We start from the raw sequence: 25,691 nt of genomic DNA on the forward strand, positions 1-25,691 counted from the left end.
GAGGAATGTGAGAGAGAGAGAGAGAGAGAGAGCTAGCTATAAATACAGCTACATATGGAGAGAGAGAGAGAGATAGTATATACACATATATATATTTTTTTCTCTCCCTCACAACTTTTTCTGCCAGTCATTACATCTTCATGTCTTCATCCTCAGTTTACAATTTGAACCTGTGCTCACTGAAACATTGGGCATCCCCTCTCCGTCTCTGTTTTGCTATTTCATGCTATTACACTTACCATTTAGGTCAATGTAGGTGGCCAGAAAAGGAACTGCTTTTCTCACTACTCTATCATAGTAGACATTTTTACATAAAACTCATATGAGATTTAAGAAGAAAAGTTTTCTATTGTGTTAAAGTCTTCCTTAATTTGCTGCACACATTTATGCAATATGAAATCTTGACTACGGAAAGAAACATTGGCTAAAATTATGGAAGATTCATAAACCATAAGAATATGTCAATGTTGGAAATACCCACTAAGTATGAGTTGACTTTTAACTGAAAAGTACTTTGTTGGGAGTTGATAGATAGCTTTTGGGGGAGCTTTGCCGCTTCCTTATCCAAATGGTTACATGGAGAAGAAATTTTACAAAATACGACCAATAAATTGATTTAAATATTTTCTGCAATTATTATTTTATTTGAACTGAGATATTTCACCCTTGAAATAAATGTTTCTGTCACAGGAGTCAGATATATTTTTTAACTATCCAGCATCTTTTTAAAAGCATTAAAAATTAACTTAACTTAAGCAATAAGCATAAATGATCTTTCGTTGAAATTGAATCTCACCTAAAAAGACTTGGAAGAGTATAGAGAGAGAGAACTTTTTTGAAAAGACGACCTGTGGTCCAGTGCACTTACAGAGTCATGAAGAGGATGCAGCCAGCTACGGCTTGGAAGTGGAAGTTCCTTGGTCTAATCATGGTCATTCTTGGCCTTTTTTGCCTACCACCCCTTCACTTTAATTCTTGCTTCTGTTTCTTGGAGATGCCATGTGCATATTTTAGTGGAACTTGTCATTCTCCATGAGAATTAAACAACAGCACACAGGTTATGAAAAGGCAGAAGGATCCTTCATAGGAACAGTCTGTAAAAGATTGGTTTTCATTTCAGTTATATGGAGGATAATGATGAGAATCACGTTGGAATGAGAGCCTTGAATTACAGAGACGCTCGCTGTCTTTAGCAGTGTTTCTGAAGAGAGTATTTTAGCCGTGGTTTATAAGAGTAGAATTACTAACTCAATCTTGCAACAAAAGGGAAAGAGAGTTGTCGAAGGCAAGGCTGCCAGTGAGAGATGTTCCTGACATTTCAACTCACATCTCCAACCCCCAAGTTTTTATTCTGCCTATTTTGACACCAATCATTTGCCAATTCGCTATTGGGAAATATCTGAGAAATCAGAAATCTCTGCAGGAGGAAAAAACTGCCTTCAGACCCCAGGAAAAATAATCCAGGTGCTTTCATCGGGCTGGATATTTTTATTAGGACCCAGAGGGTGTCTTGTGATTCCCATATGCTGAGCATGCAAACCTCAGTAGACCAAAGATGAGTAAGATGCACCTGAAGACCACACGTGAGCTCTGAACCCCTGGTAACACCCAAAACATGATGGGCTCATCAGCATGTAAGCAAAGATTGACCCCAAAAAATGATGCTTGCATCAGTTTTTAAAACCTTTTGATCGCTACCTTAGTGTTCCTTTGTAATTCTTTAAAAAAAAAAAAGATTGCATCATGCTTCTCTTTATAGAGTTTCTCTTCGTTCTAGACAGTGCAGTGGGCTAGGATATTTACATGAAAATCCACTATTAATGTTCTGGATTCACTCAGTGACATGTCTGTCATCATAATATCCTGTCTATAATGCATGCATCTATCAGACTTTTTCCCTAATTCATATTACCAATTGTTCTTTCCCATTAAAAAATGGGACTTCGATTTTTCAGAAGTCCTTTATTTTTCTTTTTAAGGGAAACTATTTTTAATATCCATGTAGGCTGTGTATCTATTTGGCTTAATCTCAGCCAATGTTTTTGTCATGACACTTACTAAACGCTCCTTATCTTAACTAACTTACCTTTCTGAATCAAACCATTCTCCTTCAAGCAATTAATTCATAGAGATGACAAATTTGTGATTTGTCTTCTGATACAAACAGCCACTTAGAAGCTACAAATCAGGTAGAAAGTGGAATGTGGTATATTCATATCAGAGGGATGATTCTTTGACATTTAGTTTGATAGGGCAAATGGAATTTTGATAATATTCTAGCTTATTAAATTTTTGACCCACTGATAAAAACAGATCTCTAAGTGTGACAACTCCCCTATTCTGTCTTCCACAAAACAAAGTGCCTTTAAAAACCTGTCTGCTATAACCAGTTCCACCTGCAGGATGGATAATGTTAGAAGTTATTGACTACACTATTGTGCTGCCTGGGTTAGCTTGAAATGGAAACAATCAACAGCGGTTCAGACCAAAATGTAGAAGAACAAAACTAACAAAGACAACAAATGAAAACCAATACTAACCACCGTCTGCAGTGAGTTCCTTCAGCTGTGACTTTTCAGGGAAGGACCTCCTCTGAAGTTAACTTCAGAACAATATAAAAAGGCCAATCCTTTGCCAGTGGGCCAGAAGTAAATATTTTCCCAGATACTATTGTGTAAAATCATTCCCACACTTGCTGTGGAACCAGTGCCATTATCTTTAGGTGTTGGAAGTAGAGGAAGTCGTTGTGGGGCCTCAGGAAATGATACGATAAAAGATGGCTCCCTGCACACCTCCCTCCTTACTCCACCAATCCACGCCCCCACCAGCTTCCAGTTCAGACCTGCTAGGGCAGAACTATCACAGAAACCCAGATAGAAAACTTGCCAGAATTCTACTCCCTTTTTGATTGTAAGAGAAACAAACAGTACACGTCTAATACAAACTTTCCTTGCCAAGATGGGAAAACTGAGTTAATAGTCCAGGCTTTCTCTCTGCTCATTTCAACCTGTGCACAGTACCCCAACTCCCTAACGTGTCCCTTAACCCAGAATTAAGTGTCACCTTCATATGTACTTTCTTTTTTCTTTTGGTTTTTTTACTCACTTTCTCTGCTGCCCAGGCTGGAGTGCAGTGCCATGGCCTCTGTTCACTGCAACCTCTGCTTCCTGGGTTCAAGTGATTCTCCTGCCTCAGTCACCAGAGTAGCTGGATTACAGGCACGTGCCACCATGCCTCGCTAATTTATTTTTGTATTTTTAGTAGAGACGGGGTCTCACCATGTTGGCCAGGCTGGTCTCTAACTCCTAACTTCAAGTGATCCACCCACCTCGGCCTCCCAAAGTGCTGATATTACAGGCGTGAACCACTGCACCCAGCCCGTATGTACTTTCTAATACACTTTAAGACCTTCATGTTTCTGAAGTAAAAAAAAAAAAGAAAAAAAATCAATTTGTGTACTATGAAGCAGATTACAGCTCCTGTTAGCTAAGTGGCAGCACAGTAGGTGACTTCAGAAGATGGAACCAATGTGTAAAAACAGAGAGATAAAGACCATTAAAGAGAAAATAAAAACCATTTATTAAGAGATAATGAGGTCATTTTATACTGTCAGGATTCTAAAATAATATTAAGATCCACTCAATGCACATCATAGATTGTGCCACCCTTTCTAGAATATCATAGATTTTTGAGTTGGAAGGGAACTTTTAAATATTCTCCAATCAAATTTATATTCAATGCAGGGGGCCCTCCTACAGCATCCTTGACAACTGGCCTCCAGGATTCTTTGTAAATAACTGCAATGACAAAAAAAAATCTACATAATAAATTAAGCAGGCCACTTTGTGTTTAGATAGCTTCATTTTATCCACCAGTTCTCATCTTCTCTTCTAGGACACTGCTTTTCAAGCTGGGGTGGTGTGAAATACATGAGGAGTTTCCAGGAAGTACTAGAATATTGTCAGTTTAAGGGTCGCTTTCAAGATCCTCAACTGCCATAGGTACTCAGTCTCAGGTTGACCTGCTTGAAAAGAACATCTTCTTTACACCTGCCTTTCCATTTTACACCACATGTCTCTCAGCCAGCCTGAATCTTATTCCTACATGCAAAAAAAATCTGGACATCAAACAAAAGGACAGTTTCAAAATACATGGTTCCTAAGAGAATGTCCTGTGGCAGAAGAGCAAATAGAGAGTCCTTAAGAAATACTGAAGAGGGCAGTGCCTTATTTCATCTAGAGAACCAACTTATGCTAAGCTTCCATCCATCTATCCATCATCCATCCACCCATCCATGCACCCATCCATCCATCCATCCACCCATCCATCCATCAGCCATTCATCCACCCAACCATCCATCCACCCCATCCATCCATCATCCATTCATCCATCCATCTATCCATCCGTCCATCCATCTTTCATTCATTCATCTATTTATCTATCTTAATCATCTATTCATTCATCCATCCATTCATTTATCCATTCATCCATCCATCAGTCCATTTATGAATTAGAATTCAAAGGTGAAGCGGCCATGATAAAAACACATGTCTTTGAACTGGAAAATTAGTTCAGATATTTTTTCAACATAAAGCAAATGTAATTTAGCTGATCAGTTTGACCATGAGGACTGGCTTTGCCAATTGGATTATATGGCTTACATTTTCCAAAAGGTGAATGATAAAATCTACACTATAAGGTTTTGATTAAAAAAATTTTAAAAACAGAGATAATCTGGCAAAAGTGGGAAATTACATCATTTGAACTATTAAACTTATGAGAAAATTGTTTAGAGAACAAACTACAAATATGCAAGGGGTATATAACTTTTGAAGATTCTTTTGAGTGTACATGAGCCAAAAAAAGAGAGAACTTGTGTAGAATGCAGAATAATAAACTCCAACCATATGACAGATCTCAGACTATATGATAACTGTCATTTCTCCTTTTCATCACTTATTTCCCACTTTAATCCTCCCTGATGACCTCCACTATTCCTCAAAATGCATGTCTAGAGCATCACTAAGGCAGGAAGGAATTAGTGACCCCAACAAGGCTCTCCCTGTCTTTCTGGAGTTCCAGCTCACACCTCAACCTGGCCCTAATGATATGCTCCATACACCTCACTGCCTGCACTGTAAGCTGCCAGCGAAAGACTACAGCAACATCCAGTTCATCTTCTAATAAGCCAACAAGTGGCTTGAACACAGTTTCTTACTCAGCCTCGGGCTAATCTCAAGTGTTAGGAGGTGCTGTGGCTGCCTCAAAGCACAATCAACCTAAAAGTGGAAGACAATCAAAAAGCAGGAGCATGTGAAGAAAAAGAGGTTGAGGGAAAATAAGTGTGTATCCAGCTATGCTGAAGATGAGAGTGCACAGCAATACACAAGACCACTGATGACATTATTAGAGTCAACAGTATTTTAAATAGACAGTGGCATCACACTCATGTCGGAGGCTAAGCTCTTGAGAGGGTAAGAGGTTGCTATGTTCCTTGTGTCTTTCAGTCCATTGCTTTCTCTATCACCATCACCATTCCTCCCCAGTCCTGACCAAACCCTGTCCACGAAACTGTAGGTTGTGACAAATACTGCTCTGGTGGTTAATACTGAGTGTCAACTTGATTGGTTTGAAGGATGCAAAGTTTCCTGGGTATGTCTGTGAGGGTGTTGCCAAAGGAAACTAACATTTGAGTCAGTGGGCTGGGGAAGGCAATCCACCCTTTTCAGGCAGAAAAACGTGAAAAGGTGTGACTGGCCTAGCCTCCCAGACTACATCTTTCTCCAGTGCTAGATGCTTCCTGCCCTCAAACATCAAACTCCTAGTTCTTCAGTTTTGGGACTCGGACAAGCTCCTTGCTGCTCAGCTTGCAGATGGCCTATTGTGGGACGCTGTGATCATGTGAGTTAATGCTTAAAACTCATATATATATATATATATACACACATATATATATGTGTGTATATATATATGAGTTTTTTATATATATATATAGATATATATATATATCCTATAGGATATATATATCCTATCAGCCATATGACAGAACCTATAGGATATATATATATATATATATATATATATATATATATCTCCTATTAGTTCTGTCCCTCTAGAGAACCCTGACTAATACAACTGCCTTCAAGGAAAGGGTTGATCCAAAAAGAATAAAGAGTCCAAAATCTTAACTTCAGATCTTCTAGGCAGATTTTTAACAAATCAGTATTAGTAAATGAAGTCTTTTCCAGAGTAACAGCCAGGCACCAGAAAGAGAAAAATGGTTTTCGGAAATTCTAAAACCTCTCTTGGGCTTCTATCAAAGGATGTCTGCCTCTGCACCCCTAGAAACATTGCTCTATTCAAATATACTCACCAGGCCACCATTGTCTGGCTCTAGCCCTCACCTGGGCATAGGTGTTCTCAACTTATATAGCAGGTCCTTGAATAATGTCATTTTGTTTAACACTGTTTCATTATAGCATTCACGAAGAAAAGAAATGATTCTTGGCCAGGGCCACTGTGTTGAGTGTGTGTGTTCTCCCCATGTTTATGTGGGTTTTCTCGAGGTCCTCTGGTTTCCTCTCACATCCAAAAGCTGTGCCCATACCTAAGCTTCATAACTCACCTGGAATTGGTGTATCTACATGGTCTCAGTGTACCCTGAGCAGCCAGGACAGGTTCCACCCACCCGCCATCCCGAACTGGAATACACAAGTAAGTAATTATCTTACTTGTTCTTATTAATCTTTCTTAAATGTATGCATAGCCTACATTTATTTCAATGCTCAACAGTAAAAGTGTTTTGGTTTTTATTTATAAGCATGGTGATGGTTTTGTGACCAGAAAAATGCCACAGTAACTTAACTCTCATTTACATCAGTTAGCCTATGGTAAAAGTGGTTTTGTGAGTCATTATTTCACTTAAAGTTGCAGTTTCCAAGAAACTGTTGACAACATTGAGTGAAGACTTATTGTATTATTGTTGTAGGATAAACAGGTATGTCTGCTGTGTAGTAATAGGCCAATTATGCAGACAGCAGTGGTGTAGCAGAGAAAGTTTAATTACTGCAGAGCGTTGGGCAAGGAGATAGGGGTAGATTTTCAGATCCAGTTTTTCAAAGAGTTTTAGGCTGCAGTTTTTAAGGGGATTATGGAAGGTGAGTGGCTGGAGAATTGGGGTCGTTGATTCGTGGGGGTGAGGGAGATGAAACTGTCAGCACATGGAAACTGCATTCTTTAGTGAGTCAGCTTCTTGGGGGGTGGGTGTTTGGACCAGCTGAAGTCAGTAGGGTGCTTGAGATCAGCTGGTATCAGCGGGATTTTTCAGATCAGCTGAGTCAGTAGTTTTATTAGTATGCAGGACTTGAAGAATTACCTCAAAGGGAAAATTTAATGTTTTATAATGGTTAAGTTGTGGGGAATTATAATCTTGTAACAGGGTCTACATGATTTTGAGGCAACAGACATTAAATAATTATGACAAAGCAGGTCATACAACTGACTTAATGATTGATGTTGTATGTGCTGAGTAATTTTGTAAAGTGGAGTGGTTTTAGCCCACCTTGGGCTTAATCAAACCCCAACCCTGAGGTGAGAACTAATACAGTGTGAATTGGGTGAAAACCACTCTAGCTTTTTCCTGCCGGCAAGGGGCACAGTTGCGGTAAGAGTCAGGATTTGAGGAATAAAACTGCCTGGCAGTAATCTGCAAGCACGTATGGCTGCCCAGTTGGACACTTCAGGGGCACAGCATGAACACATTAGCGCTCCTGCACGCTGTCTTAGCATGGCGTGTATTTAATTATATACTGGACTGTAAGATCATTATAAGTCCTATTGTCAGAATTATGAGCCCACATTTTTAAAGTCCTTGTAAAGTAGACTGAAAACTTTAGGGGTACTAGTGACATTTTATTGTCACAGAGTCTGTTCTGTCAGTCTTGTTGTGTCCAGAATCTGTGGGTTCTTGGTCTCACTGACTTCAAGAATGAAGCCACAGACTCCCCGCTCCGGGTGAGTGTTACAGTTCTTAAAGATGGTGTGTCCAGAGTTTGTTCCTTCAGATGTGTCCGGAGTTTCTTCCTTCTGGTGGGTTCCTGGTCTCATCAGCTTCAGAAGTGAAGCTGCAGACCTTCATGGTGAGTGTTACACCTCTTAAAGACGACACAGACCCAAAGAGTCAGCAGCAGCAAGATTTATCTTGAAGAACAAAAGAACAAAGCCTCCACAGCATGCAACGGTACCCACCAGGTTGCCGCTGATGGCTCATGCAGCCTGCTTTTATTCCCTTATCTGACCCCACCCACATCCTGCTGATTGGTCCATTTTACAGAGAGCTGATTGGCCCATTTTTCAGAGAGCTGATTGGTCCATTTTGACAGGGTGCTGACTGGTGTGTTTGCAAACCTTAAGCTAGACACAGAGCACTGACTGGTGCATTTACAATTCTTTAGCTAGACACAAAAGTTCTCCAAGTCCCCACTAGATTAGCTAGACACAGAGCACTGATTGGTGCATTTACAAACCTTGAGCTGGACACAGAGCACTGATTGGTGCGTTTACAAACCTTGAGCTAGACACAGGGTGCTGATTGGTGCATTTACACACCTTTAGCTAGACATAAAAGTTCTCCAAGTCCCCACCAGACTCAGAAGCCCAGCTGACTTAACCTAGTGGATCCTGCACGGGGAGCTAGGGGAGCTGCCTACCAGTCCCGCCCCACGTGCCCTTACTCCTCAGCCCTTGGGCGGTCGATGGGACCAGGCACCACGGAGCAGGGGGCAGTGCCCGTCAGGGAGGCTCGGGTCAAGCGGGAGCCCATGGCGGGCGGGGGAGCTCAGGCATGGCGAGCTGCAGGTCCCAAGCCCTGCCCCCTGGGGAGGCGGCTGAGCTGAGGCCTGGCGAGAATTAAAGCACGGCACTGGCAGGTCGGCAGTGCTGGGGGACCCAGTGCACCCTCCGCAGCTCTTGGCCCGGGTGCTAAGCCCCTCACTGTCCAAGGCCAGCAGTGCTGGCTGGCCGCTCCGAGTGCAGGGCCCACCAAGCCGGCGACCACCTGGAACTCGTGCTGCCCGCAAGCGCCCTGCACAGCTCCGGTTCCGGCCCACACCTCTCCCTCTACACCTCCCTACAAGCAGAGGGAGCTGGCTGCGGCCTCGGCCAGCCCAGAGAAGGGCTCCCACAGTGCAGTAGCAGGCTGAAGGGCTCCTCAAGCACAGCCAGAGTGGACACCGGGCAGAGGCCTAGGAGGCACTGAGAGCAAGGGCTGCTAGCACGTTGCATGTCTCATTGTGATTTCTATTTTAATAGTAATGCTGGTGAGTTGTGTCTACACTCAAAAAGGAAGGGTGTATTATGAGACACGTCTGATCTCTCATCTCTTCATGGCCAGGAACTAAGTTTTAAGGTTTTTCTGGGGTCCTCTTGGCCACAAGTGAGTCTGTTCGGTCAGTACGGGGGTGCTTAGGATTTTACGTTTCCCCTTTTTGGTTAAGATATGCCAGAGGCGGCATTGATGGTCAAACTTTTATTTTGTCCCGTATTGTTGTCAGTGGGACTCCTATGGCCAAAGGACTTAGAGCCGAAAGACTTACTGCCAATTAAATGTTCTAGGCCAGATGGCAATGGAGGTGGGCAGACACTCATTAACCCTTAAGAAACTTTTGAGCAGCATAACAGCTGAGAGCCAAAAGCCAAAGATAAGCTTACAGAATTGAATCCTGGTCTTAGATACTGAGATAGCAATTATTTATACGAGACATAAGCATTTTGTTAAACCCTTTTGAGTTAAGGAGTTTAGAGAGGCAAAGTTTCTCAACTTGTCGGCTATTTAGGCATTCATGTGCCCATCCTGGATTTGGAGGATCTGAACTAATTTTATCCCTCAAAACTGGCCCTTGGAATTTTGTGTGCCCACTTCTTTCACGGTAGTCCCTGAGCCTAGAAATTGAATAGTTTTAAATTCTGGCCTCATGTCTCACGAAAGCAATTCATTTTGACTAGAACCTTTTTCTGGGTCTGAAGATGAGGCTTTGGTTAACTTGAGTTTGATGTCACATACAGGTATCAATGTTTAAGATTCAGCAAGATTTGATGCCTTTTTTAGATGAGATACGTGTACCCAGGAGTCAAAGCCCTGTCACTTAATAAGGTGCTATTATCAAGGATTAGTTAATAGCACCTGAAATAAAGAACGTTTTCAAAGGGGCTGGAGGGAGTCCATTAGCTGATTTTTCTTTTAGTGTAATTGTCAGGCTAGAAGTGGTGATACTGCAGTTCATGGTCTGACTGGAAGCTGTAAAAAGATTTTACAACTTTGCAGTGATTAATTTTTATAGCTTTGATAAGCCCCAGCAATAAGTCAGAGACTTAATTTAGTATTTGATTTTGAAGATGTTTATCAAAGACGTTAAAAGGCTCAAAACAGAATCAGACAGAGGTCACTGTAAAGTAATAGTTATTTATTTAACTAAGATTGAGAAGTAAAAGACCTTAAAGAAAATACCGAAGGTTATATGTATGTAAAAAATTTAATCCTTTTAAATCCTAGTGTTTTTAAGTAATTAAAATTCTAACAACGACATAGAAATTATCTTGGCAAAATGTAAAAATCTCTGTTTCTTAGGCCAGTTATTAAAAAGGCAAAGAAAAACCTCCTGCTGTGTGATTACTTTTCCTTATGGGAAGCCCATTTAGATAACCTGAAAGTCAAACCTGATGAAAAAGGTTCTTGAATTAATCAGATGCAGGAAGCATGTGTCCAGGATTATGAATATAAACTATATTATGAAGGAAACGAGAAACTAGAAACTATTTAGACATGACTCTTAGTAACAGCATGGGAAGTTTTCTTGTTACACGGAACAATTTAGACTTATCAAGAAAAGCCAAGAGTATACAGCCAGGTTGCACTGGAAGAAAACATTGCTTTTTCAGACCTTTAAGATAAACATTTCAGTGTCAGGCTATCACAGTAAAGTTAGAAATGGAGGCCAAGGTTATAGGTGCTGACAAAAAAGTTGAAAGAGTTCTTATCTCAGGCTTTCTCAAAGGGTGAAAAAGCTGGTAGCACCAAGGCACAGCAGAAGTGGAACTTCTGAGATATAAATTTGAGGGACTTTTTAAAAAAAAAAGGTTATAAAATTAAAAATGAGAACCTCTTATAATTTAAGAGCGAATTAATATCTTAAGAAAATCTTATTTAAATATAGGGAGCTAAATTTTAGAAAAATTATTATAAATTATTTTATAAAATTGTAACTAACTAAGACAGGGTCTGACTTTGTTGCCCAGGATGGAATGCAGTGGCCTGAACAAGGCCCACTGCAGCCTTGACCTCCCAGGCTCAAGTGATCTTCCCACCTCAGTTTCCTGAGTAGCTGGGACTGTAGGCACGTGCACCAGCAAACCTGACTAATTTTTCCACTTTTTGTAGAGATGGGTTTTTGCCGTGTTGCCCAGGCTGGTCTGGAACTCCTGAGCTCAAGCCATCCACCTGCCTTGGCCTCCCAAAGTGCTGGGATTGCGGGCATGAGCCACTGCACCCAGACATAAACTTTTTTCTAATAAATTGTCTTTTATGAACCTTATTATTACTTTCATAGACCATCAATGACATTCTTAAATTTTTGCTTTGTCCTAAACCAAGTTCTTTTTTAAATAACTAATAATTTTATTTTAGGACAAAAATTTACCATACTAAATTTTTTCATTTATTAAAACTATTTTTATAGTCATAACCTTTAAAATATTTCTCTCTCCTACTTCCTGGGTTTTCTTTAACCTTGTTTTGTGAATAACTTTCCAGGTCTATAATTTAAATCAACCTTTAGATAATTTCTGAATTAGACAAAATTATTCTTTTTTTAATAAGAACATATTTTTGGTACACTTTATATACAGAATTACATATTAACTAGAATCTTTATTCTTAGTAACCTTAAATTTTAGTGAAAACCAAGGAAGCAAGAAATTTTGAATTGTCTGCCAGACATTCATACTTTATGGATGAGAACCACTCCACAATTTTTAGAAACATTTTTTTTTAATATCATAACCCTTTCTTAGTTGGAAATAATGGTTATTTAAGATAATTTTAAGATTTCAATTATACAAAAGTTTACCCATAAGCATTTGTCTCATTTATATTAATTTATTTTTTTTAACAGTTTAACTAGATTACTTATGAAAACTGAGATATTAGACAAAGATAGTCATCATTTAAAATTATTCCTCTGTTAACCATTTTTATAGCCTCTGAATATCAGGTGTTTACCTAAGTAGAAACTTAGAGTAAACATATGGATACTTTTGCCAATAACTCAGAAGGTTTAGCTGTTTTCATTAAACCAACAACATCAAATTGGCCCTATTTATCAAAAATATATACAAATAAAGATTATTTTGTTTTTGGCTGGGTTTATAGCTTTGTATGCTTCATGCCAAACCCTGACACCATAATACATTTAGCAAAGACAAATATAAAACCATTTAGCCAATAAACCCAGACACAAATGTATGCTGATAATTTTGAAGATATTTAATTTTAATTTTATTTATAATTTTAAAGCCAGTTTTTAAATTAAAGATTTATTTAAATCACATTAACTTGAAAGATATTTGGAGTTATGTACTTAATTTATGAGTGTTTTATTATTTATAAGCCAAGTTGGTATCGTGTAGACTTAATATATAACACAATATATGTTTATATAAGTAAATTTATCTAAACACACACACATATAAACAAGGATTTTACAGCTTTTACTTCGGAATTCTAGCCATGAGATGGTAATACAAACTCACCAGTTTATAAAAGATGGCTGAATCTGAATTATTTTGGACAAAATTGGGAGCCTGTCCACATGGCTAAACTTTGTGTGCCTTGGTAGGTAGTCCAATGAAGGCTGTGAACCAAAGAAGTTTTTACGGGAAAAAAACATTTTTATCCTTTCCCCTCCACTCCCAGTTTTAAATGAGTTTTAATGTTTACATTTCAGCTAGTACTGGCAGAACTGTATAAGAAAAACAAAATCCCCAAGTAACTTTGAGTTAGTAGTACCACGAACAGAGAGTTTTATCTCAAAACCAGTAGCTTAATAATAGCAGATTAGAAGTAGGCAGAAAAGAAAATAAAGAGAAAGATTCACAAAGAGTTTTTAATCCTATAGCTGCAAATCAACCTTTTGAGTTCTGGATTTTCCTCACTGTCATTTGCCCATCAGTTTAAAATGTGCACAATAGCAGGCCATGTATGTAACCAGCTGGAGTCCTAGAAAACATGGCGTGCCTTTTAACTTTCCCAGAGTTTTTGCAGTTTTTCTGCCCTTAGTGGATAAATTACTCATTGTACTGATCTAAAGAGGACACCTCTTGTTTTCCCAATTCTCAAGATGCAGCCTAATGGGGCTGCCTGGAGGAACCTAACCAACATTTCCCATTCTGGCTGAGAGGACTCACACGACAAAAACACAGATGCTAGTCACTCTGCTCAGTGCCCAGATCTGACGTGGAAAGATTCAACCTTGCCTCTGCGGGCCCCGGCACCTTTGATCCAGGGATCAAAGTGGAAAGGAATGACCTGTGCCCAGGAGTTCAGCAGGTGGTCTCTGGGCAAGGTGGAAAAGTGGACGGCCACCCTAAGTGAGGCCTGCTGAGCTTTCACTAGCAATTCCTTTAGGGATATTTTTCACAAATATAAACGTACATAACAAGACAAAGACAAACAAAAGGCCTTCCAAAATAAAGTTTTAAATTTTAAAAATTAAGAGTATTTCTCCCAAGCAGTGCCCTTTATTTTTTTTCCAGTATAGGAGAATCCTCTCAAACAAGACCCTTCCTATTATTAGGGATGGTCAACAAGACCTCCAAAGAGGCTGCAAGACTCCCAAAGAAGACACAAACCCCCGAAGAGGCCACGAGACCTCTGAAGAGGCCAAAAAATCAGGAGAAAGGAAAAAGGGTGCCAGTTGCATAGAGAAAATTTACCAAAGATGTCTTCAAAACGAGTAATTGTTACTTTGCTGAAGGCAATTTATGCACCAGGATTGACACTGCCCCATCAACAGACAAGGCACAGGAGACAGCACCCTAGTTCAACGAAACTGAGCAGCCACTTGGACTCGACTCCAGGTCCGTCCCAATGACATGGTAGCACCGAGCCATGTGCAAATGCCCACAAGGGACTCCTGGCTAGATCACCATAATGTGTTATAGGACCAACAGGCTTGTATGTCTGCTGTGTAGTAATATACTAGTTACACAGACAGCAGGAATGTCGCAGAGAAAGAGTTTAATTATCACAGGGCGCTGAGCGACGAGATGGGAAGAGATTCGCAAGTACATGTCTCTGAAGAGTTTGGGGCTGGGGCTTTTTTTTTTTTTTCTTTTTGAGACAGTCTCGCTCCGTAGCCCAGGCTGGAGCGCAGTGGCGCGATCTTGGCTCACTGCAACCTCTGCCTCCCAGGTTCAAGCGAATCTCCTGCCTCAGCCTCCCAAGTGTCTAGGAATACAGGCGCCCACCACCACGCCCAGCTAATTTTTATATTTTTAGTAGAGACGGGTTTTCACCATATTGGCCAGGCTGGTCTTGAACTCTTGATCTTGTGATCCGCCCGCCTCGGCCTCCCAAAGTCCTGGGATTACAGGTGTGAGCCACAGCGCCCAGCTGGGGTTGGGGCTTTTAAGGGGATTATGGAGGATGAAGGACTAGAGAATTGGGGTCATTAATTGGTTGGGGTAAGAGGCATGAAACCTTCATGATGTGGAAAGTGCATTCTTTGGTGAGTCAGCTTCTTGTGGGATCCTTCAGACCAGCTGATGTCAGTAGAGTTTTTTAGATCTGCTGGCATTAGTAGAGTCTTTCAGACCAGGTGAGTCAGTAATTTTATTAGAATGCAGGACTTGAATATCTCAAAGGGAAAACTTAACATTTTATAATGGTTAAGTTGTTATCTATAGAGAGTTAAGGGGAATTATAATCTTGTAACAGGGTCTACATTGTTTTGAGGCTATAGACATTACGTAATTATCAGAAAGCAGGTCAGAGAACAAGCTGACTTAATGATTAATGTTGAATGTGTTGCAAGCTTCTATTTTTTTTATTTTTGTTAAAATTTAAAAAAAAAAACCCTCCATGTTTTTCTGATTTAATGTTATAAAGTTTACAGGGGCAGTTTTCCCATTGTGGAGGCTTCACAGCAGGGCATGAGAGCCACGTTTTCCTGACATCTGTCCCCAGTCCCATTTTTTTCAACTTGTAGCCAACTATTTTTGTTGTTGTTGTTGTTGTGTTGTTCCTTTGCTATTTCCTGATTTAAAACTCCAGCTTTTAAGTTGCTGTTTCCTGCCTGATAGAGACTTTTGCTACTTTACAGAGTAAAGGTAACTACAGAGAGGGAAACCCCCTTTCCCCCACAAGAAAGAGTCACCTCTTCTAGCTCAGATGCCCTCGGCTCCAGGTGCATGTCCAGGCTCACACTGACGGCTGAGTGTTCGAGTATTCCCCTGGGAGGCGCGGCACTTTCTGAAAGCTCTCTAGTTATATTCTTATGCTATTGATTATTTTAAACGGTGAAACAAAATATAGAATTAAGTCCACTCAGAATAAAGGGAAGGTCTCCAGACTTCTTACTACCCCAGGTGCCCCACATGCTTCTGTTCATACTTGAGGCAATACTTCAGAGGTTGGTTATATATCCCTGTCTTCTTCTTATTCAAGAGACGGTTTAAAGGATAGAAAGCACAGGGGAAAGGTTCTTGAGTCCAGAGTTTCCTGCCAAGCAACAGGAGAAACGGGGAACAGACTTAGGATGAGTTTCTGGGTGACTCTGTCACCCAAAATTCTCTAGTTGCCACCAATGGGAGACGAAGAGCTTAGAGGCGTTACTTCAGGTACAAGTGAAGCTGGCTACAGCCACATGCCTTAGGCTTACTGGATTTCCACCTAGAATATATGCCTCTCCCAGCAATCCACATGGCTGTTCTATGTCATATGTCATTTATGCTCTGCTCACATGTAAACTACTCAAAACAGCCTTCTCTGGTCCTCCTATCCAAAATACCACATTCCTATTCTATTCTCAACCTAAGCACCCTACTTTATTTTTCTTCACAGCACGTATTAACTCTTCGTATGTTTTCAAATATGTTTATGGCCTATCTGCCCTCTGTAGAAGGTAAGCTCCATGGAAACAGAGTGTTTATGTCTTTTTTCTGTCCCTCCCGATGCCAGGGTACATACAGAGCCTAGAAAAACACTTTGACACTTGGTAGGTTCTTATATTTGTTAAATATTTAAAAATGCAACAGCCTATCTTCATACTTCCACATTTTAATTGATTTGAATTATTCTTTCAATCTATGTAGCCTCCTATCTATTATATGGTCAATAATTCTTCAAGCAGAAATTTAATACAAACTCCTGACCCTCATACTAGCCAACAAAATGAATAATTCTCTCCATTCTCTGAATCAAAGCCTCTCTTTGCAGAACACATTATGACTTCTAATATTTTGTACTATTTCTAGAGCTCTAGAAATAATTAAAAGCTCATTTCAATGAAAGCTTAAGGGATATTTAATATCACATATTCATTAATGATGTGAATTTTTGAATGAACTACATACATGTTCAGGTCTTTAGTATATGTTATTTCAATATTTTACTTTGGAATGTATTTGTATTTAGATCTGTGAAATGTTCATATAGCGAACTGCTGTCATATATTAACGCCTGTTCATGCATGTGTGTATGTATGTATAAATATTTATTTTTTCTATGTCAGCCATAGAAACACGACTTTGTTCACTATTTTTTTTTTAGCTACAATTTTTAAGCTTCTAAATTTTGATGTGATTGTCTTTTTCCTTTCATCCTTCAAACTTTAAGCTATCCAATCAGCTTCCAAACGGTTGTTTTTTCTCCTACCAAAGAGTGATTCTAGCTGAAAGCTAGTTCAACACCAAAACCAAGAATGATCTCTGTACATGCTTCATGGACCACATTTTCTTTTTATGATCCATAAATCGTCACTCCAAAAACAACTCCCTCCCTTCTACTAGCAGTCCTAAAACCTCAGGCAGTAGAATCCAGAAATTTGTCCTGATTAAACTTCCCAGGACTTGCTCATGTGGATTATCAAACACATTCCCCACTCTAACCAAGACTTTTTCTTGAAAGTATTCATTGTCATTGTATTACCATTCCCAGACTTCCTTGTAATGCAAAAGAATATGTGTGAATCACATATTTTTCTCTTCTTTCCAAAAAAACAAATAAATAAATCCAGCCATTTGAAATGTATTTTGTCATTACAAAAGAAAGATAATACTTTGGAGACCTTGAAAATGACAATGGGGCCAGGTGCGGCGGTTCACACTTGTAATCCCAGCACTTTGGGAGACTAAGACAGGCGGATCACTTGAGGCCAAGAGTTTGAGACCAGCCTGGCCAACATGGTGAAACCCCGTCTCTACTAAAAATACAAAAATTAGCCGGGTGTGGTGGCACGTGTCTGTAGTCCTAGCTGCTCGAGAGGCTGAGGCAGGAGAATCGCTTGAACACAGGAGATGGAGGCTGCAGTGAGCCAAGACTGCACCACTGCGCTATAGCCTGGATGTCAGAGCAAGACTCTGTCTCAGAAAAAAAAAAGAAGAAAGAAGAAAGAAGAAAAAGAAAGAAAGAAAGAAAGAAAGAAAGAAAGAAAGAAAGAAAGAAAGAAAGAAAGAAAGAAAGAAAGAAAGGAAGGAAGGAAAGAAAGAAAGAAGGGAGGAGGGGAGGGAGGGAGGCAGGCAGGAAGGAAGGAAAAGAAAAGAAAAGAGAAGAGCAAAGAAAAGAAAAGGACAATGGAATGAAAAGGGTGCATATACCAAGAGGAATTCATTCAAATGAGGCTCAGCACTGAACCCTCAGTCTAAGGAAAGAGGCTGCTCCTGTCTTATTGGAAATGAGCCCCTGTTTTTGTTGTTGGTGTTGCTTTGTTTTCAGGCTGACTGTGGTTTCTTTTGTTTCATTTAATCTGGTAGTTATGTGTGGTCCTTTCTAGACAAGGAAAAAATGCGAAATAAGTGGTGTTCCCTTTTTTGGCATGGGGTTCTTTTTCCCCAGAGTCCTTCTTGTTCCAGGTAAGTACTGCCCTGGAACAAAGTATCTACTAAGTTAATTTATAATAAGACATGAATGGTGTATTAGTTATTATTGCTGTTATACCATATTCCCACAAATTTAGTGGCTGAACACAACATAAATGTATTCACTTACAATTCTGAAGGTCACAATGGGGTCACAGTTCTGAAGGACCCCATTTTGGGACTTACAATTCTGAAGGACCCAATATGGGACTCACTGGGCTCAAATCAAGCTGTTGTCAGGACCGTGTTCCTTCTAACGGCACTAGGAGGGCATTATTCTGCCTTCCGAAAGTAGTAATGCATCATTCACTCTCCTACGCTCCCCAGAAGGGATAGGTATTGTACTTCAAAGCACAAGCCTATGAAACTGATTTCTAAAAAACTTGCAGAAGGAATACAAGCTGAGACGAAAATACCAGCACCTAGAGCAGAGCATGCTTTTTTTTTTTTTTTTTTTTTTTTTTTTTTTGAGATGGAGTCTCGCTCTTGTCGCCCAGGCTGGAGTGCAGTGGCGCCATCTCGGCTCACTGCAAGCTCCACCTCCCGGGTTCACGCCATTCTCCTGCTTCAGCCTCCCGAGTAGCTGGGACTGCAGGCGCCCGCCACCACGCCCGGCTAAGTGTTTTTTTGTTGTTGTTTTTTTTTTTTTAGTAGAGACAGGGTTTCACCATGTTAGCTAAGATGGTCTCGATCTCCTGAGCTAGCTGTCTGCCCGCCTCAGCCTCCCAGGGCTTTTAAGAGCTGAGGCATCACCAAGGTTCTCCATAACACGGGGTGTAGAGGAAACTAAAATATGGATGTTAGTAATTGTGAAAAGATGGACACTGAATACCAAAAACGTTTGAAAATATCTTCAAATTTTTATTTTGTTTATATTTTCTCTTTTACATATGCATAAGAGAGATACATATTTTAAAATCCATGTCTAAAACCTCCGAGACCTCTGTCAATAAATGCACGACATGATTTTAATGACGAAAAGGCATTGAGTTCTGTAAACCTAAAATGGTTGTTAAAGTCTCTTTTTTTAAAAAAAAAAAAAGAAGTATTGGTAATAGTAGAATTGAAAAAGTGCTTCTTTCTTAACGATACATAAAATAATGTTCTTAAAATTGATGATGACTGAGATTCGATGAAATAGGGTATTTCATGCTCAATTTTGAGTTATTTTGCTACTAAAATTAATAAACAATTTCTCAAACAAGAGATAGTAATTTTTAAAGTTTTATTTTAGGTTAATGTTTTCAATGAAACAAAAACTTCTGACTCCTTACCTACTTTTGCACCAAATGTAAAACCAAACTTTTTTTTTTTTTTCTTAGACGCAATCTCGCTCTGTCACCCAGGCTAGAGTGCAATGGCACAATCTCAGCTCACTGCAACTTCTGCCTCCCAAGATCAAGCGATTCTCCTGCCTCAGCCTTCTGAGTAGCTGGGATTACAGGTCCACACCACCATGCCCAGCTAATTTTTGTGTTTTTAGTAGAGACAGGGTTTCACCATGTTGCCCAGGCCTGTCTCAAACTCCTGGGCTCAAGCAACCCTCCTGTCTCAGCCTCTCAAAGTGTGAAGATTTCAGGCCAAACTATCTTAATAAAAGAAAAGCTACCTGAAGTTAACAAACCATTCTGTGATGAGCGCACTTTTGTGTTTGATGTATGTCCATACTATGAAATCACATCACGTATTTATGTTTAACATATCTGATGTTACCCTAGGTTTAGTTTTGAGAATTTACCTGGATTACTGAAAGGAAATGTATCTTAACATGATTCAATTGCCTTTCAATGTAATTCAGGTATAAAGGAAGGTTATCTTTGATAATCACCAATTTTCTAAATATAAAATTTGTTCCTCACAGATTTAAATGTATGATGTTATTTATGTGATCATTTAGTAGAAATATACTCATTTCCATCAGGATAGGATTTGATTTGCAATTTATAGTGGCTTCTAATTAGGTAATATTGACATAATTCTGCATCAAAATCTAATAGAATATAGTGTGACTTGTGTGATAATACAGAAAGAGGAAAATCTGCAAGTCTGAGGTTGTCCTTGGCTATCTGTTTTGCAGTGTCACCAGAATATCTGGTTTGTTGCTGTGTGTTTCACTGTTACTCAACATGTGGCTTGGGTGACTGCTGGCTGCTCTGCTCATCAGGGACGCTTCCTTTTCAAATAGCCTTTGGGAAACTGACAAGTGATAACATGTGCTTTTTTTTTTTTTTTTTTTTTTTTTGAGACGGAGTCTCACTTTGTCGCCCAGGCTGGAGGGCAGTGGCGCCATCTCGGCTCACTGCAAGCTCCACCTCCTGGGTTCACACCATTCTCCTGCCTCAGCCTCCTGAGTAGCTGGGACTACAGGCACCCACCACCACGCCCGGCTGATGTTTTGTATTTTTAGTAGAGACACGGTTTCACTGTGTTAGCCAGGATGGTCTCGATCTCCTGACCTTGTGATCCACCCACCTCGGCCTCCCAAAGTGCTGGGATTACAGGCATCAGTCACTGCGCCCGGCCCATATGCTTATATTTATCTTTAGGTCAATTAATTTAATGATTTTTATTTGTAAAAACCTCTTTTCATGTTCATTCTTTCAGTGAATATTTATTGAGTATTCACAGCAAGCCATGCACACTTATGTTAAGATGCCATAACAAAGGCAGCTAAATACATCCATATTAGGGTTGAAGTTCTCAAATCTTAGAGAAAAATGCTAATTTAGTTATGAAGACATGCTGTGACCAATATATTTAACATATGAATAAAATTTAGGTAAATAAAATGAAATTCTCATCTAACTCAAAATATCTATCCAATAATTTCCTAGATTGGCTAAAATGTTCATCTTAGTCTCATTCTTTTTTTCTTAGGCAAGGTTTTCTAACCAGTAGGTCATGAAACACTGTTGCCTACAAATCCTGGAGAATTCTTCACTAGATCTGCACTACAAGAAATACTAAGGAGAATATTTCAGACTGATGAAAATTCTAGCTGAAGAGCTGCAGGGAGAAATAAAGATAGAAAAAATAAATAAGTAAACAAATATATACATTATGATTTAACATTGACGTTTTAAAAATAACAATTACAATAATATCTAATGGAGATAACAATGTGTCATATAGTAAAATTTTTACTATATGACAATAATAGTAAAAAAGAGAGAAGGGTGAAATCTGGATTTAATGAGTTTTAAGATTTTTGGATGTTTAGAAGTGGTACAAGGACTAAGTTAAGCTATGCTATGTTAGGTCAAGGGTAAATATTGAATCACTGTAGTAACCACCAATTAAAATAAAATACCTTATATTTTATTTTAACGTAAATTGTTAAAGTATATTATAAATATACTTTGTTCTTTCACTATACAAGAAAGCTGTGTAGTTATGTTACTATAAGACAAAATAGATTTCAAGTGAAGAATTATTACTAGACATAAAGAGGAACATTTTATAATTAAAAAGGTCAGTTCAACAATAATACAGAAATCCCAAATTTTTATGCACATAATAACGTAGCTTCGAAGTAAAGAAAGATAAAAAACAAATTCACAAGCACGTATACATATATATATTTATGCATCTATGTACACATTTATGGAAATAGCTATAACTATATTGATGTGCGAAAAAGCTAGTAGAGGGGAGTAGAGGAATCATAAAAACATCATCCAAAAGAAAATAAGAAAGGAACCAAATCCCAAGGGTACACCAAACAAATAACAGTTCGTATTATTAATGGAGAGATACAGATATAATTCAAAAGCTAATAGAATAAAAAATGAAATAAGATAATCCAAAAGACAAGAAGAATGGAAGAAAGAGGAACAAAGAGCAGAATGGTGAAATAAAATAAAATAGCAAGTGGGTGGCCATAAACACAACTATTAAAAATTACATTAAATGTAAACAGGCTAATCAAAAGCAAATTAAAAGTTAACATTGTCAGACTGAAATGAAAGACAAAATTCAGCTGTATGTTGTTTATAAGTAGCATATACAGATGGACAAAGAAAGTTTGAAAATAAATGAATGGAAAAATAAATACCTTGCAAACACAAACCAAAAGAAAGCTATATGAATAATTGAGGAATAGGCTAGGATTTTGCAGAGTTGTGTTTAAGTCAAACAAGTGTAGCTATGTTACTATAAGACAAAGTAGATTTCAAGTGAAGAATTATTATTAGACATAAGGAAGAACATTTTACAATTAAAAGGGTCAGTTCAACAATAATATAGAAATCCTAAATGTATATGCACATAATAACATAGCTTCTAAGTAAAGGAAGAAATAAACAAATTCACAAACGTAGTTGGAGATTTTAACACATGTCTCTAAGTCCCTACCAGAACAAGTAGGCAAAATCAGTATGGATGTGAAAGACTAGAAGATGATTAATCAAGTTGGCCTAATATAGGAAACACTCTACCTGACTGAAGAGTACATATTCTTTTCCATTGCAAATCTGTAATAGCATTTACCAAAATAGGCCATCTTCTGGATGACAAAGCAAGTCACAACAAATTTCAAAAGACTTAAATTGGCCGGGCGTGATGGCTCACGCCTGTAATCCCAGCACTTCGGAAGGCCAAGGTGGGCGGATCACAAGGTCAGGAGTTTGAGACCAGCCTGACCAACATGGTGAAACCCCATCTCTACTAAAAATTAAAAAAAAAAAAAATTAGCCGGGTGTGGTGGCGCATGCCTTTCATCCCAGCTACTCAGAAGGCTGAGGCAGGAGAATCGCTTGAACCTGGGAGGCGGAGGTTGCAGTGAGCCAAGATTGCACACTGCCCTCCAGCCCAGGCGACAGAGCAAGACTCCGTCTCAAAAAAAAAAAAGACTTAAATCAAATTGACTGAGTTCTCTGACCACAGTCTTCGTTAAACTGGGAATTAGTAACACAAAGAAAAATAGAAAATTCCTAATGTTTGAAAATGAAGCAACATACTTCTCCATGACCCATGGGTCAAAGACAAGAACATAGTAAAATTTTTAAAATATTTTGAACTGAATGGTAATAACAATAAAATATACTAATACTTGTGGAATGTAGCTTAGAGGAAAAGTTACAGCGTCAAATGCTTATATTAGAAAAGAAGAAACGTTGAAAATCACTTAACTATGCTTTTATCACAAGAAGCTAGAAAAAGAATAGCAAATTAAACAAAAGAAAGTAGAAGTAACTGGATAATAAAGAAAAGACATCAATTAAAAGAAAGCAAATGTACTATATGCAAATCAACAGCTAAAAGCTGGTACTTTGAAAAACTAATAAGATGATGAAAAAAAAAAAAAAAACCCTGACACATAAAAAAAGATTAAGCATGGGCAGGGATGACAATAGAGATCAGAGAAGACTGGAACATGAAGCTGCCCAGAGAGTGAGCATAAATAGACAACAGCACGTAGTTAAGCAGCTCAACAGTGACTTGTCCTGCATTTTATTGATTCTCTTGGCCTTTCCCTCATGCAAACGATGGCTGCCACATCTGCAGACTTTACTTCTACTGACACTATTCGAGGTTCCACTCCTGTGTCAGCAACTTGTTCCTGCCACCCTGGATGCTTCCAAAAGCCAGACACCTATGCATCAGCTTTTGGCAGCAAAATGCAGAGCCTCCTTGCTTAAGTAGCCTGCTTCTGATTTGAAATCCTCTGAACATGGGTCTGATTGGTGGAACTTACACTCCAGCTGCACTCCTGTATTCTTGAGTTCTGTTTCACTTAAGTTACTCTGCTAGCAGCTAATCACCTCTTGCCAGTTAATAACTCATCATATTAAATTATCCCTATTCCCAAATTACTGGTGGTTTTGATTCCTGGCTAAATCCTAACTGATACACTTTCTTATCAGGATTAGCAGATGTCTGATTTTTGAACTGGACAGTCTGGGATGTGACATTTCTGTTGGATCTAAATGAGACAGAACTATAAATGCTATTTTATAAATTTACATAAATTTTTAATTAAAATAGTGAGTCACATGGATAGAAGTTCTGCAACTGAATGTAAAATATGTCATATATTTCACAAGCCATAATTTTTATAGTTTGGGCTACACATTTTTATCAAATGTATTATACATATTTTGAACTCATCTTGTAATTCTGTTTCTTACCTATGCTTCCAAAACACTCTTTCTCCTTTATTGCACTCTATTCTCTTTCTCCTGATAAGTAGCATAGCATATTAAACTCCAGGATTTCAAATCACATTGCCTCAAATAAATCCTTTCTCTGTAGCAGTTTGAACTTTTCAAATATAGTACTTTCCAGGACAAAACCAGCCATAAAGAAAATATATATAATTGTGGTATATCTGTACAATAGACTACTACCCAGCAATAAAAGGATAGGCCATATATCCTATCCTGATAAATACAACAAAATTGATGAATATCAAAACTATCATGTCAGACCTTTCACAAAGGAAAATATACAAAAGGTCAGTAACAGGGACACAGTGCTCAACATGATTAGTCATTAGGGAAACTGTGGAGGCTAAAGCAACTCCATCTTGGATGCTAATCTGCCATGTTGGCTTCTGATTAACCCCTGTTCCTGGAAGGCCTCCGAGATTTCTAGTTTACCTATTGTTCCTTGTGTAAGTGCACATACTTACCCATACTTAATGTAAATCCTACCCTTATGTCAAAACAACCTTGATATTATCATACTTCAGTTGTCCTGCACATCACTTCTGAATCACATATACTCTTTCCCTATGGTATGTAAGCCCTGGGTCTTGGGTGTTGATATGGTTTGGCTGTGTCCCCATCCAAATCTTATCTTGAATTTTAGCTTCCATAATTCCCATGTGTCATGGGAGGGACCCAGTGGGAGGTAATTGAATCATGGGGGAAGGTTTTTCCCATCCTGTTCTTGTGATAGTGAATAAGTCTCATGAGATCCGGTGGTTTTATAAAAGGCAGTTCCTCTGCACATGTTCTTTTGCCTGCCGCCATGTAAGATGTGACTTTGTTCTTCCTTTGCCTTCCAGGATGATTGTGAGGCCTCCCCAACCATGTGGAACTGTGAGCCCATTAAACCTCTTTACTTTGTAAATTACCCAGTCTAGGGTATGTCCGTACAGCAGCATGAGAATGGAATAATGCAAGGGAAATGGCACAGGCATCCACCATCTTGTCTCACCACCAACCGAGACACAGACATGATTTCTATTCATAAGTGCCTATTAAATGTTCTTTCTGAGAACTGGATTTGTCAGCTTCTTACTTCAGCCTCTCAACTTCCTCAAACTGGGGGTAGATTTGCATATATCTGCTCACCATGGAACAGAAACAAAAAATCATAATAAGTGACCAATAAACAAATTGGAATGGCTGAAAAATTAAATACTAACTACACCAACATCAGTGAGTTTGGGAAATGAGAAGAAATCTCGTGTATTGGTTGTGAAAGGGTAAAATGATTCCATCACTTTGGCAGTTTCCTATAAAAGTAAACATATACTTGCCCTACAATCCAACAATTCCAGCTCTCAGTATTTACCTGAGAGAAATAAAACATGTTTACAAAGAGAGTTTTGTACC

The 25,691-nt window shown here is 38.9% G+C and overlaps 1 long non-coding RNA gene across 2 annotated transcripts in view; it reads right to left on the reverse strand.

The window, feature by feature from the left end:
• LOC105373224 (uncharacterized) overlaps window positions 1-25,691 on the reverse strand; it is a 38,407-nt gene that overhangs the window by 1,437 nt on the left and 11,279 nt on the right. The window contains exons 1-2 of one of the 2 annotated variants that reach the window (XR_001738559.3): window positions 2,541-2,919; window positions 869-1,094 (exon numbers count right to left, since the gene is read on the reverse strand). This is a non-coding gene — a long non-coding RNA (uncharacterized LOC105373224). Of the gene's footprint in view, window positions 1-868; window positions 1,095-2,540; window positions 2,920-25,691 lie in introns of those variants that run through there. The other variant, XR_949315.4, reaches the window with a different exon arrangement.

This window comes from Homo sapiens, chromosome 1 (genome assembly GCF_000001405.40).
Source record: "Homo sapiens chromosome 1, GRCh38.p14 Primary Assembly".
Lineage (NCBI taxonomy): Eukaryota > Metazoa > Chordata > Mammalia > Primates > Hominidae > Homo > Homo sapiens.